This window comes from Homo sapiens, chromosome 9 (genome assembly GCF_000001405.40).
Source record: "Homo sapiens chromosome 9, GRCh38.p14 Primary Assembly".
Lineage (NCBI taxonomy): Eukaryota > Metazoa > Chordata > Mammalia > Primates > Hominidae > Homo > Homo sapiens.
Genome location: NC_000009.12, coordinates 29029491 through 29045531, shown reverse-complemented (window position 1 = coordinate 29045531; position 16041 = coordinate 29029491). Strand labels below are relative to the sequence as shown.

Sequence of the window (16041 nt, the reverse complement as noted above, 5' to 3'; positions counted from 1 at the left end):
ATGGTCATATGTTTTTTATTCTTTTATGTCTCTTTGTATTGCATACAAAAGGTAGCACACTATAGAAAATATTTTGTGCTTTTAATTATTTTTTTGCTCATCAATATATGATGGAATATATTCCATATAAATTCATAGAGATCTTCTTTATTCCCTTTTTGCAGCTCCATAGTACTTCATTGTATGAAAGTACAGTAGTCCCCTTTTGTCCACCATTTCTCTTTCTGCAGTTTCAATTACCTGTGGCCAATTGCGGTCTGAAAATAGTAAACGGAACATTCCAGAGATAAACAATTTATAACTTGTAAATTGCCTGCTTTTCTGAGTAGCCATGATGAAATCACTTACCATGTTACTTCATCCAGCTGGAATGTGAATCATGAATCATCTCTTTGTCCAGTGTATTCAAGCTATACATACTACCTGCCTGTCAATCACTTAGTTGCCATCTTGGTTATCCAATCAACTGTTGTAAAAATCTCATCAGGTAGGCATTTTATCATCTGACATCATCACAAGAAGAAGGATGAATATAGTACAATAAGATATTTTACAAGAAAGAGAGAGAGAAATATTTACAAAACTTTTTAATATACTTGTACTAGAGTATGTTGTTATACTTGTTCCATTTTATTATTATTGTTATTAATCTCTTACTGTGCCTAACTTATAAAGTAAACTTTATCTTAAGGGTGTATGTATAAGAAAAAAGCAGTGTACGTAGGCTCCAGTACCATCTGCAGCTTCAAGTGTCCACTGGGGGTCTTGGGATATCATATCCCTCTTAAATGTGGAGGGACTTCTATATTTTATTTTATTTAATCACTCTACTATATTTAAAAATTTAGGTTACTTGAATATGTTTCAGTTACAAACAACAAAGTAAAGACTAACCTCATTCAAATATATTTTTGAGAATATCCCTTTACAATAAATTCCCAGAAGTAGAATTTCAGGGTCACAGGGTAAATGCATGTATTGTTTTGTGAGATATTGTAAAATTCTCCTACAAGTAATTATACCTGTTTACATTCTCACTAGCAATGTATGAGAGTCATATGCCTTATTTTAACCAGAAATCTTGAAAGGTGTTATCTCCTTTATTTATGTTGCTTAAGCAGAGTATTTCTTTAGTGGAGCTGTGGTTATTGCTATAGACTAATGAATATGTCAGAGTATACAAAATCATAAAATAATTAATTAGAACAAAGGAGGAGTCATTTTTCTGGAGTTTATGCCTGTACCATATGCCTACCCTTCCAACTTCTATTTGCTCCATTCATTTATTTTAATTATTATATACTTACATAACACTCACATTGTGCCATCCATGTTATAATTATTTTAGCAGTATTGTCAAATTTAATTCTCAGAAAAAATCCCATGAGGTAGGTAACCTTATTCCACTTTTACTCATGGGGAAACTGAGGCATAGAACTTTGAAGTCAGCTATTAAAGTCCCCACTCCTAATAAGTGGAAATACAGGATTGAAACATAGGAAACCTGTGTTTGCAAACTGTTCGCTTTATCATTGTTCTTTCATTGGCAGTCAAAAGAAATACACAGTGGCAATAGCTGGTGAATGAGTTAAAAAGAACTCAGGTTTCTTGAACTCAGGTTTCTTGCATTATTTATGAGTAGCAGTGCATTGTTCATTGCATTGTGCAAAATTGCGATGAATGAGGTTCTTTCCAGTCAATCTTTGCATATACATCATGTGATATATTACTTCAGATGATTTGTTTCTGATAGTCACTGCATATAACTGTGTTTTATGTTTCTATAGAAGTAATCAAGGGAGGTCAGTCTGTAAAAATATAAAATAGTATTATTTGTTTTCATTCTTACAACTACCATGTAGTTTACTTAACCTGGCAATCCCTTGCATAAGCATCAGATTTCATAAGTGGCAGGCAGGCACTACTTAGTAATAATGAAATGCATGCCTATAACCAGAAATAAGTTAAATAAATAAATGAGAAATCTCAACACATACATGTTAGAACTCAATTAAGAGTGCAAATATTGCATGGAACCCAGATTCGCAGGATTCAGAAGTTCTAATTTATAGAGATTTTAGTGACTGACTCAGCTTTTTCGATTTTTATAAGATTCTTAAAATTTGTTCATCTAGTTTAATCATAGACCTTATCATCTTCAAGCTTTGTAGAAGATATTGAAGAAGATATTCTAAGTTACTTTCATAAGACTTCCCAGCAGATAATGGAAATGGAGCAGAATCCAAGTTTCTTAACTCCTATGTCAGCACTTTTTCTGTAACATTTGCTTAAATTTCCAGTCTACATCTTTATTGCTAGCTCTCTTTGAGTTTGATAGGCAGTGGTAGGTGAAATAGTATAATGGATTTCCATTGATCCTCCATTGTTTCTACTTATACTGTCTCTGTTCAGTCTACTTTTTCTTGCTGTTGTTTTTGTTTAAAAAACTGTTTCTTGAGATTATTGTAGATTTACATAGTGCTCTAAAATAAATACAGAGAGATCCATGTGGCCTCTCTGTACAGAATATATATATATCTCACAAGGATCCCTTATGTTGGCCTTTTATAGCCATATCCACTACCATTGCTACCCTGACACCCTGATTGCATCCCGTGGCAATGACTAATCAATCTCTTCTCCATTTGTATAATTTTGTCATTTAACTGGTTATAGTAATAAAAACATATGTTATGTAACTTTTTAGGGTTGACTTTGTTCACTCAGCATAATCCCCTCAAGATTTATCCAAATTGTGTGTATTAGAAAAATAAGGATGTGAGGCAACAAATATGTTAATTAAGTTGATTTAGTCATCCCACAATGTGTACATATATTAAAACAGCACATTGTACATCATAAATATATGCAATTTTTCTTTTGCCAATTAAAACACGTTTTAAAGGTAAAAGTTACATAAGATTAAAAGAAATATATTCTTGTTTCTCCCAAGCAAAACAACAAAGGAAAATACATTTTTAATGAAAAAAATTGTGTTTCTTGTATTTTATTCATTTTTAATTGTTGAGTAGTAGTCCATGTTATTGATTGAGCACAGTTTGTTTAACCATTCACCCACTGAAGGACAGATGGGATTATTCACTTTTGGGATATTATTAATAAAGCTGGTTTGAACATTCATATACAGGTTTTTGTGTGAACATCAGTTGTTATTCTCTGGTTTAAATGTGCAAGAGTGCAATTTCGGGGTTGCAAGGGAATTGCATGTTAAATTTCAGAAGTTTCCAGAGTGGCTATATTATTTTAGATGAGATTGGGTGCATTCAGGGTGGTATGGCCGTAGACAAGGGTGGCTATATTATTTTAAATTCACATCAGCAGTGCATGAGTGATCCAATATCTTCATATCCTTGCCAGTATTTGGTGTTGTCACATTTTTTTCTTATTTTAGTCATTCTGATAGATATATAGCAATATTTCATTGTGATTTTAGTTTTCATGTCCCTGATGCCTAATGAAGTTGAATGCATCTATATGTGTTTATTTTCTATTTGTGTATCCTCTTTGGTAAAATATATGTTCATGTCTTTCCCTCATTTTCTAGATGGAAAGTTTTAAATTGCTGAGTATCTAAAGTTCTTTATATATTCTAACACCAGTTCTTTGTCAGATAGAGGGTGTGTGAATATTTTCTCAGAATTTGTATCTTGACTTTTCATCCTTTCAACATGAGCTTTGGCAGAGAAAACATTTTTAATTTTGATAAGATCTACTTATCAATGTTTTCATTTATTGATCCTGATTTCAGTGTTAAGTCTAATAACTTTTTATCCCTGGATTATGAAGATGTTCTTCTATGTTTTTGCTAAAACATGTATAGCTTTTAGTTTGACACCTAAGTTCATGACACATTTTGAGTCCATTTTTGTATGAAGTGAGAGGTTTAGGTTGAGTTACATTTTCTTAATTATGGTTGTCCATTTGCTCTAGGTTGAGCTACATTTTCTTAACTCTGGTTACCCATCTGTCCATATTTGGGTGTCTACTTCTGAGTTTTCTACTATGTTGCATTGATGTATAAGTCTATATTTCCACCAATACCACACTGTCTTGACTCTCATAGCTATATACAGTAGCAGGCCTTACTATCGGATAGAGTAATAATTAATACTTTATTCTTCTTTTTCAAAATATTTTAGCTATTCTGGCTAGCTTGTGCCTTTCCAAGTAAATTTTAAAATAAGCTTGTCTTTGTGTCCAAAAACCCTTCCTTGAATTTTGGTAGAAATTAATTAAAACTATAAATCAATTTGGGGAAAATTGATAGGTTCTATGTTGAGTCTTACAGTCTATGAATGTAGTATGTCTCTCCATTTATTTAAATCTTGATGCATAAATATTTATCATTGCAAGCAAGAGTGAACACAGTAGGTTTAAGTTCTGATTATCCTTAAAATTAAAATCTGTAACCATCTGTGTTCCCTAATTATTAGGTGAACTTCAAATGACTTTTATTATTCTTGAAAGAAGAGTGCACAATAGAAAATATGCTTAAATTAATTTTACCGTTTCTATTTTGAAGGAAGAGGAAACTGAGCTTAGGTCTTAGGACACAAAATTGTTAATGAACTCAGTATGTATATTAATGGACTCAGTGCATAGAAGTTATATGTCAGTGTTAATTTTGTATAATTTGAATTACAATCTTTTATATTTGTATGTAATCTAATTCATGATTACCCATATGGCTCTATTATTATAAACTAATTGAAAATTAAACATTTCTGCTCTTGGATATGAATATTTTAGGACTTTGGTTTTACTGTAACAATTTTAGAAATAACATCCTAATAATTTAAATATGCATTCTACTGATTGTGTGTCATTTTATTAAATGGGTGGATGCCATTTTATTTATACTTTTGATTTTTAGAAACAAGCTTCTCAATGACATATGTCAGCCTTTTGGAAATTATATGATAATTATGTATCTCTTTTTTTTTTTAAAGAGGCGTCTAGAGGTTTTCACAACTATCATACCTTGAAGAGAACCTAAGTTCTGTTATGAACATTGGGAGTAGATAACCAGTATTTATATGTAAAAATAGTATACTATTATGCTGTAAATCAATTTTCTGGATTGTACTCAGTTTTAAAGGGAAAATGGCTATTGTAAACTTATAAAAATTCTCTCAGTTAGCTGTTGGTATTATAAACTTGCAACAACGATAATTTCAGCTCATAATTTAGTTAATTATATGTATTATAAAGATTCCAAATTTATATTTTACCTTTATGCTACAAAATTCCATGGCAATTTTATCAATTTAAAATGTATTTTAGTGACTACTCAAATTCAGCTATCTCTAAGGTGCAGTTGCATAATAATATAATAGATAGCCAAGAAAATTATAAAACAGCTTAGGACGGAAACTGAACAATGAAGATCATATACAGTTGAAGCCATGACCAGAATTAGGGAACAAATAATGTAATTTTCAAAGTTAGCACTTTTCTAGGATATGAATTTCAGAAATATTTCTATAAAAATATAGTTTCAAATTAGAATCTAAAAATGAAACTCTAGATTTTTTCTGTTTTATACTTGACATGGAGAAAAAAATGAAAATTTGACCCAAAAGCAGCCTAGATATCAGTTGAAATGCTATTATTCCTGTAACTGCCAATAATTACTATGCATTTTCACCAGTGCCTGTCCTACCGTTGCTGTGCTTTGATTTTTCAAGCGCTTTGTTCACTGGCTATTACCCATCTTGGATCAGTGGTGGGCACCTCAGTCAGCAGCAGCCAGCCCATAGCTGGCCAGGCATGCTTAGAAAACCAGGCCTGTCCCTGGAATTGAGTTAGCCTTGGGAAGTGAACCTGCAAGTCCTTAAAGTAGATTTAGGTTAGAAAGGTCGGGGTAGCCATGGGCAAACTAAAGTTATGAGGAAAGAGAAGATACTAAAAAGTCAGAGAAAATGCAAAGTAGACAGAACTGGGAATGATTTGTGATCCAACTAGGCGAGAAGAGGCTTCTCAAGAAGTAGATGGTGCTGTGTGTCACCATGGTTGGCAGTAAGCTTTGAGTTTTGCTACATGTAGCCTTACTGTGACCTCCTTTTTACATTAAATATCAATGACTCATCCCTGAAGTGAAACACCCTATTTAACACAAGAGAACAACAAGCTTCCTGCTCATTCTTGTTTTTTTCTCTTATGAACATTATTCTCCTCAGTAGACTTATGCATATATACAAAGACTATATTTCTCCTTATTAGAGATCTAAAACAAACTGAAATTCATTTAAATCTACACTCAGATTTCAGCATCTCTAGGAAATGTATTCTCAGTATCAGTGGATTTGGGGTGTTTCAATTGTTGTTCATAAATTGGTGCCAGATTTCTTGCACAAGCCCATTTTAAGATCTTTCAAACTCTCAGAACCTCACTTAATGAAGCAGTATGAATTTGCCGCTGGTTGTACAGCTGTTGGCCTGCTTATTTAGATCAACCTGAAAAGACAGTCTATAATACACTCAATTAGCAGTAACTAATGATTATTTGAGTAGTCACTGATTGGTACCTGACTAATGTGCACCCAGTTAAAGCCTAATGAGCAATGACAAGAGAATTCCTCAACAATTTATAAAGTCAGTAGACACCATTTATACTGTACTGACTTTTGAGCATTTGCTCGGTTAAGGCGTCTTAATATTTTAGTTTTCCCCTTGCTTCAGTATTGCAATAGTTTACTTAATCCTGCTCTACTTTCTGTTTATACTTTTTAAGATAATAAAATAATTTGAAATTGTTAGAATGTACATGAAAAAGATGTTAATCCTAAAGACCAAATGCAGGATAAAACTTTTTTCATGTTTTTTTTTTTTTTTTTTCTGAGTAGTGAACTCTGTTTAATTAATTCTCTTGTGCCATTGTCCCTAGACAGTGTGCTAGGGATCATTTCTAATGTTCTGCTGAATTCCTATCAGGGTATACATTTTATTTTTCTGTAACTGAATATAAATGCTATATCAGCAAATTCTGTTAGGTTTCATGTGGGGAAAAAAGGTGAGAAACACAGTCATGGCATTCAGGAGCCAATAAAGATGGAAACTTACTCAGTCATTAGTGAACATTCCCTTCAGTGTAAGAAAATAGTCCCACTCCTATGCCAGTTACTTCAGAAAATGGCCAACAAACATAAGAAGATGATCAACCTTATAAGTAAACAGTGAAATGCGTATTAAACTAATGTCAATTATCAGTAAACACTACCAGAATGGCTAAAATTAAAAATTAAAAGACAGTATCTTCTGGAACACTCATGTACTGATGGTGGGAGTATAACCGATACAACCACTTTGGAAACAGTTGGACGTTGTCTACAGAAGTTGAATATATGTGTACTATAACCTAGCAATTCTGCCTTAGTTATATACCCAAGAGAGAATTCTTGCACACATGCATAGAGATATTGACAAGAATATAACATCTTTTGTAATATTCAAAATCTGGAAAAAAATCAAAATATCATCAACATAAATACTTTATGAAGTATTCATATAAGGGTAAACTATACATCAACAAATCATAGCTCTGTACAAAAGCATGGATTAGCTTTTTAGAGAAATGATATTTTTTCTATTAATATTTTCAAGAGCTAATATTTGCATAGTACTTTCCATGCACTATGTGCTTTTCTATATATTGAATATTGTTAAATTGTTTAATTTTTTTACAATTCTATCAAGTATGTGGTTTTAAAATCTCTGTTTTACATGTGGGAAATTGAAGCATAGATATTTTAACCTTTTCTAGGTCACAGAGCTTTTTAATGTAAGAAAATATGTAAAATGGAACAGATTGGTAATGGAACTTCCGTTACCAATACTCAACCTATGAAACAGTACATTAGACAGTTTGGACTTTGGCTGAAATGAGCTGAAATGCATTCCAATTGGATAATATTTTAATCTTCATATAACGTGGAAGCATATGTAAAATAGAAATGCATGATATTACGCAGTATATGAAGTGTGGCATCGCTGATCAATGTGAGTTTTTGAGAAATTCCAAAAGTCTTGACAAATTATTTGTTCTAGAAAACTAGAATCTACTTTGTGATTACATATTTTTAACATAATATAAGCTACAATTAAGTTCCACTAAAACTTCAATTATCATGTCACAATACACATAATACAAATTGACATAAACCACTTATTCATAACATATAAAATTTCAAATTAATAAAATTTCCAATTATTTGGCACTGAAAAATTCAGTCAACTCTTAGTAAAGCTATTGATCCAAAACTAAATTATAATATTAAGGAGTCTCATCATTAAGTCTTCCTGCTTAGTGTGTTAGGAAAACAACTCCAAAAAACCTGTAATTAGTAGATAAGGTTCCACACTTTTAAGGATAACAACATTAAAATTTGTGAGACTAGGCAAGTTATTTGTAGTGGGGACAGACAAAAAAAAGAGTAAGCAGAGAAAAGGTATAGATGAACGTCACTGGAAATTATAAATAAAGGAGAATTACCTGACATACATAGATTTCAAAAATAGCCATTTTCATCCTAACATAAATTATTATAACAAATCTTTTTTGTTACTAAGAAAAACCTTAATAACTAATTTTTCAATTAATAAATTTCATTGGAAGTACAATTTACAGTTTTGTCCTTTTTCAATGAGCCTTTATTGTTTCATGTTCACCATGAAAAAGCAGTATATATATTTTTATTTCCTAACTTAATTATAGTTTGGAAAGGTAAAAACAGAATCCATACCAAGTCTGTCTCTGAAGCTTTCTGTAGTAGCATTGAACAAGTTAAACTTCTTTTAAATAAAAAGGCATATTTTTTCTGATAGATGGAATGAGTGATAGTGATCAGAAACAGAATCATGACCAAGCTAATTGCACTGTTCACTAGATTTCCGATCTCTCCCAAAGTACACTCTTCCATGTTGAATACAGACTGTATTATTACATGCAGTAGGTCTTTCTGGCTAGTATTACAGCATTGGACTTTTTAAATTTCCAATCCCTTTTCCTTTTTAAAAAATGTCATCTAAAATTCTTCATTTTGAAGTCTAATTTATTTCTCATAGTTCAGGTTCACACTACTACAATGATTCATTATTTTTTTTCTTCTGGTTTCTTTGAGTTATTAAGACTTGATCAGAAAATTTTATACTTCCAAAATATGTTAGACCTTTCATGAAATAAATATCACAAATTTCATAGGAGTGTTTGACTTAAAAGCTCAAAAGCCATTCATTTCTTATAATCACTTTTATGCACTTTTTAAGGCTAATATTTAACTCTGGGCTGAATATAAAATGCTCAACGTGCAAATGCCTTGAACAGGTTAATATCTGCTTTTGAACTCGTAGTGTAAGTATTGATAAATTAACACTAATGGTTTTCATTTGGTCATTGAATCCATTTTCATAGTCTGGAGTAATGGTGTTGCAAGCGTCTAAAATGACTATTACTCAGTCTTTTAAATGAGGTAAACTATCCCCACCATTCTGTGATGTGACTTCCCATGTCTTTCTAATCTTGCTTCCCAAATTGTTTCCGCAAAAGCTTCCATGCTTTCTTTATCTCATCTCTAAACAGTTTTCTCCAAGATTTCAATATTTTTCCCTCTTCTTAGTGTATATGTATATCTCTGCCTCCATGACAATTTACCTGTCTCTGTGTTTCCATTTCCTTGTGGGATAAAGTGAAACTAAGATGCCAGGGAACAAATTGGGACTAAAATGCTTATGATTATTTTACGATAGCTCAATACAACTTACAAGACGTTAGGTAAGCTTACACATATGCTTTTGTCTTTGTCTTCTTAACATCATTTATTTTCCTTTCCTCTCTTCTCCATTTCCCCATTTATGAATCAGATATTCTGCATTTTGTTTCCTTCTTCCGATGTACCTTGGTTTTGACTTCAAGCTTCTGCACAAAAGCTTGAAGTCAAAACCAAGGTACACTGGAAGAAGGAATGTACCTTGAGCTCTTCCTTCTCTGACCTTCCATCTCTACCTGCAAAGATGTCAGCTTAGATGCTGCTGTAGGCATAAAACTGGATTCAACCGTCCAAGTCTGAGCTGAAGAAAAGTTTTTTTGTTTTTTGTTCTTAATAGGCTAATGTATCCTCTGGAATTTTCAAGCCAGGAAGAATATTGTCAAACTAAATGAAAAGATAGTGGTATGTCAAGAGCTGAGTTATGGCTACCTGTTCCACTACTTCTATCTTAAATAAGATAAATGACCACAATCTATGTGACCTTCATCTCCTGGACTACAGTTTCTTCATCATAAAATTAGAGGTTTTGACTATGAGGCCGCTGAGGACCTTTCCAGTTCTAACATGATGGTTTTATAATTTTCGAGATATTATAGCAAATTATTACTTTTTTATATTTTTCTTTATGTCTTATGTATATTCCAGAGAGCTTCACGGTTTTATTATTTAATCATCTAAAGAGGCTTTAATAATGCAGTTAAATTGAATATTTGGTTTCTCTGCTTAAAAATAAATATAGCAATAATATTTAACATTTATTGAGGCGTATGATTCCTGACATTTTATATGTGTTATTTCACATTGACTTTTGTTCACCTTTCTAAAGTAGGAACAATAAAAAGTTCACATGAATGTTTTTGGTATTTCTGCACAAGATCAGAGGCAAGCTCATTATGGCATTGTCAGTAAATCGATAGTGCTGAAGGCAGCAGACACGAAGGGTGAAGGACTTACCACAGGGTCACTATACACAGAGACTGGATATTAGTAAAAAGATGATATTCTTCTGAATAATCTCAACTTAGTAATGCTTGATGATGTTTTATTTTAATGATTATAATGATTAATTTATTGATATCTTAAAATAGACACTGATAAATGCGCTTGTGTTCAGAGCAAAATTATTGATCAGAGAAATGGTGAAAATCATAGTCATAGGGCTATTTATTTTTTAAAATAAAATTAGGAATGTACCTCTCCAAAAAAGGAATAACAATAACAGCAACAAAAATATGGCAGAGATTAATTTTCAATTCCTATCTTTAAGCTGTGCTTTGCAAGCTCAAATGCTTACAGTTTGCTGGGCCACTTGTCCAAGGTCACGCAATATGTTAGTGTAAAGCTTGATCTAGCTAGGTTATTAAAATATGAAGTATTTAATGTTAAAATATACCTGAATATTTATGCCATATAATATTATGAATATCATGCTATGTATTCAATACTCTTTTGGAATAAAATAAAATTTAAATGAATGGAACATGTATTTTTAGATACGTGTTTACAAAGATGTTATATGTGTTTATATATACTTATTAATTTAGCAATATTTAAAGTCTTTAACAATTTTGTTGGTATATACATTCATTTATCCATGCATTCATAGATCTATTCATACATCTATTTAACAAATATGTAATGATTATTATGTTTCTTTTTTTTTTGAGGTGGAATCTCACTCTGTCACCCAGGCTGAAGTGCAGTGACCGCAATCTGAGCTCACTGCAACCTCCACCACCTGGGTTCAAGTGATTCTCCTCTTTCAGCCTCCGAAATAGCTGAGATTACAGGTGCGCACCACCATGCCCAGCTAATTTTTTGTGTTTTTGGTAGAGATGGGGTTGCACCATATTGGCCAGGCTGGTCTGGAACTCCTGAGCTCAACTGATCCACTTGCCTCAGCCTCCCAAAGTGCTATGATTACTATGTTTCTGACATGCGAAGTGGCAAATATATGACATATGTTAAGATCTCAGGAAACCAGAATTTTAGAGTAATAACATTTCCATTTTCTCACTCTTCAGAAACACTTATTTTTTTTTTAGTGGCATCTTGCCCTCAGAACTCCACTCAGGAAAGTAATACAAGTATAATTATTTTTATTTTATATATGAAGATGCAATCATGGAATGGATTTGAAGACTTAATCCAAATTACAGAGCAAGATAACACCAATACCAGGAATTAAACCCATATATTTTCACTCAATCTTGGCAACACTTCTATGGATTATTAATGTAATAAGAATAAGGTTTACAATTATTAAACTATTTCAACCCCGTACGTGTGTTGAATGGCAGTCATCAAAAATAATGGTCTTATAGTACAGCAGTTTTATATAGAAGAGATATATATATATATATATATAGTAAAGCAGTTTTATATAGAATCACACATTTGAATAACAATCCAAACCAGAAACTTTTCCTATGTTTTTCTGTTTCACATTCACCAGACAGGAATAACAATAGGTGAGACTTCAGTACTCCATCAAGAAAAGCTCCCTTTTAGCAAGACCTCACATGAACTTTGGAAGTGCATCATGGCAGAATAAAATATTGGCATACATCGTTCACATGAGCTGGTAATTTTAAATAAAATTCAGAAAATAATTCAATTGAAGAATAAGAAGCTGTTCCAATTTAATGACAAGGCAAGAAAATAGCCTGAAATGGCAAGATGAGTGATATGTGAATAAAGCATTAAAGTATATATTATAAATTAACATTGAAGTTTTCTCTTCATCTATATGGCATAATTGTAATCAAATTCATTCCACTAGTCCTCATATTGGTTTAATTAGGCTTAGTTTAACACATTGGAAAATGCATGAGATAGTTACAGAGGAGAGCTCTCTATCAGAACTTTTTCAAATGATGGAAATGTTCTATATATGTAGTCTCTCCAATACAGTAATCATTAACCACACAATATTATAAAGCACTTGAAAAGTGGCTGTTGTGACTAAGGAACTGAATATTTTATTTTATTACAATTGATATAGATTTAAATAGTCACATGTGGCTAATGACAACTGTGTTAATCATTTTTGGTCTACAGGCTTTGGCATCTGTTTCTGAACTATGTGGTATAAATGCTCATTTCATGTAACTGAGTACACAACAGAATCTGAGGCTTGAATGATTCTAAGAGATGATTTACTTCATTCACTTTCAGACTTTGACAGTGACTCCCAGTAAGAAATTAAGTTAAATTTGAGACATTATACACACATATGCATGTATACACTCAAAAGTTTCATGAAGACAACTATTGTCTGTAGTGAGCTGCACACTGATTTTTTAATTCTACTACATTTTAAAAAGTAGTTATCTGAATTTCCAAAAAGATTGCTGAGCTTTGCTGTATGTATTGTCATTTTGCAGATAAAGGAGTTGTGTCTCAGAAAGGTGGGATGACCCTCCAATTACAGCAGGAATGTCAGACATAAAGCCATTGTTCTGCATTTAACATATCACCTTAAAAATAAACACTTGACTTTCCTTTGTCTTCAATTTAGAAATATATACTGATAACTTTAAATAAGCCACTGAATATGCCTTCTGTATTAATCTCCGTCCTCCATGAAGCATGTTTATGGACCAAATGCATTTTTCTTTAGAAAAATTTAAAACGTATGAAGTTTATGCACTACTCTACAAGTTTCCCTTTTGCTGTTTACCAAGTGGAAGACTAAACATGGGATTGCCACTTGGATTGCTATTTTGTATTACAAACTTTGTCTAGGAAAGCCCTTGAGGGACAAAACCTCAGCACATCTGAAATTTTTGACAAATGAGATTCTAATTTCCACTGAAAATTTGAGTCACCTACAATTCACTATTTCCCTATGAAATTGAAACTGGAGCCAATGATTAAAATATATCTCACTCTCTTTTATGTATCCCAAAGATGCTAAAGAAAGAATAAACACTATCAAATAAACAATGACACAGTGGTTTATCACTTAGAGTTTCATACTTATCGGAAGAGCTGTGTTAGACTGCTTTATTCAGTTTTTAAAATTATACTCCATTTTTATTTAAAAATAAAGGAATATATGAAGGAATTCCCAAAACTTCGTAAAGAAAGTTAGGATCTGACATTTTAGAATAACATTTGACTCAGTGTCATAGATATGGATTTAAAAATAACATTACCACCAGCTGGGTGCGGTGGCTCACACCTGTAATCTCAGCATTTTGGGAGGCAGAGGTGGGCAGATCACTTGAGGTTAGGAGTTTGAGACCAGCCTGGCCAACATGCTGAAACTCTGTCTCTACTAAAAATACAGAAATTAGCCAGGCATGGTGGCAAGAACCTGTAATCCTAGCTACTTGAGAGGCTGAGGCTGAAGAATCGCTTGAACCCTGGAGATGGAGGTTACAGTGGGCCGAGATGGCGCCACTGCACTGCAGCCTGGGCGACAGAGAGAGAATCATCTCTAAATAAATAAATAAATAAATAAATAAATCACCACCACCACCACCACCACCACCACTTTGTTACTATGTGCTATTACAAACATTGATATGAACCAAACATGAAAAAGTGCTTATATCTGCTTAATTTTCTTCACAGCTACTGTGTGGTTTTTGTTGTTTGCACCTTCTTGATCTTACCAGACAGTGTCAATGGGAGATTTTCATATGACAACCAGGATTCATGGTTTTTCTTCAATAAATCAATAAATGATTTGTTACTTAAAATGTATAAGGATAGTCTTTGTCCATTCATGCCACTGGAAATAAGAAACAAGTTTGTTTATGTACAGTGATACCTGCACCATGGCTGCTAACTGGTTGATAGCAACAGTGAGGGACCAGCAATTTTAGGATGTATCCTGATTATAGGCATGTTAAATGTTTTAAAAATGCAAATCTCAGTAATAATTGATAAGGTACACTTGCAGTTTGTAAATTTGGTGGACAAATATTAAGAAAAAACAGGTAATGCACCCAGTCTCAAAGTATTTCCCTAAAAGATGTTTATTAATCACAGAGGAAAAAAATCTTTACAGTGGGAAACCCTGTAGATACTTCTCTGAGTAAACACTGTCAATATTACCATTGGTAAGACAGTGACATCATGAACTTCTTGATATAATGGAATGAGAAGAATCTCATCATGAAAACAAATGAGAAAATTTGAATTGAGGAACATTCTACCAAGAGGAAGTACTCTTCAAAAGTGTCATGGTCATGAAAGATAAAATAAGAGCAGAGAACTGTCATAGGTTGGAGGAAACTAAGAATAAAAAGCAATTAAATATAAAATTGGACTCTGGAGAGAATCATGGAACCGAAATATGACATTACTAGACAACAGGTGAAATTTGAATTAACTTTAGGGAAATCCGGATGAGGGGTATATAGGTACTGTTATTTTTCCAACTTTTCTATACGTCTACAATTAGCTTAAAATTAAAAGTATGCATTGTGGAATTGATGAATTACATAATTGGGGCCAGTGTTTCAGTGGAGAGGCATTTTTGAACATTCAGAAATTTTTTCTGATAAAATAATACTTTTCTTAGGAAAATGGCAAATATCTTTAGAAATATGTTACAGCTTAAAGTATTATTATATATGTTTAGACTTGGCAATCCTAAAATAGGACTCAATTCAATACATAAGAATTTATACTATCATTCTATAGAACACCCAGCAATCTTTCACTTTTTTTCCTGAAAGATAACACATTTAAGCTTTTTCTTCTAACACCAGCTAGTACCAAATTTTAACTTTTATAAGTTGCTACACATTATTGTAGCAACTGGTGCAAAGGAATTTCTAAACTAGTCTAATGATTAGAAATACACTTCAGAAGATCTGTGAAATGAGCGTGGAATGTCTTCCAATATGTTTTTCAGAAAAAAAAAAACTGAAAGCTTCTTTTAAATATGATTTATATCTTCTAAATGGCATATTCTTTGAGAATAACTGAGGCAGAAACTTGCTCGAAAAGAGAGGAGAGTCTTGCTGCTTGCCCCAATCCACTTGCTGGTTTGTTTATAAACATATCAGGTGGCTTGAAGAATCCACTAGCTTCTTACATTTCTCTTCAAAGTGATGCATTTTCTTGGCTTTTAATGTATTAAAGTAAATAAGTTAAAGAGATGTCAGGTTTACAGTCTTTATGTAAAAATCTATCACTGTTTTTCTCATCCTCTATCAAACAAGAAGTATTCATTCTAAGTATGACTAATCAAATAATGGGTTTCTGGGGATTACATAGTGAATTTTATAATTGTAGG

General features: G+C 32.4%; 1 protein-coding gene across 11 annotated transcripts in view, besides 1 other annotated feature; it reads left to right on the top strand.

Moving 5' to 3' along the window:
• The window catches only part of LINGO2 (leucine rich repeat and Ig domain containing 2), a 1275985-nt gene that overhangs the window by 168070 nt on the left and 1091874 nt on the right, over window positions 1–16041 (top strand). The window lies entirely within an intron of this gene.
• Window positions 15498–15667: an enhancer, noted in NCBI's record as "experimental_107603 CRE fragment used in MPRA reporter constructs". NCBI's record gives its function as "activates a minimal promoter by MPRAs in K562 erythroleukemia cells, with activity observed for both the introgressed and non-introgressed 9:29029948 variant alleles {active_cell/tissue: K562}" and the evidence as "EXISTENCE:reporter gene assay evidence [ECO:0000049][PMID:34662402]".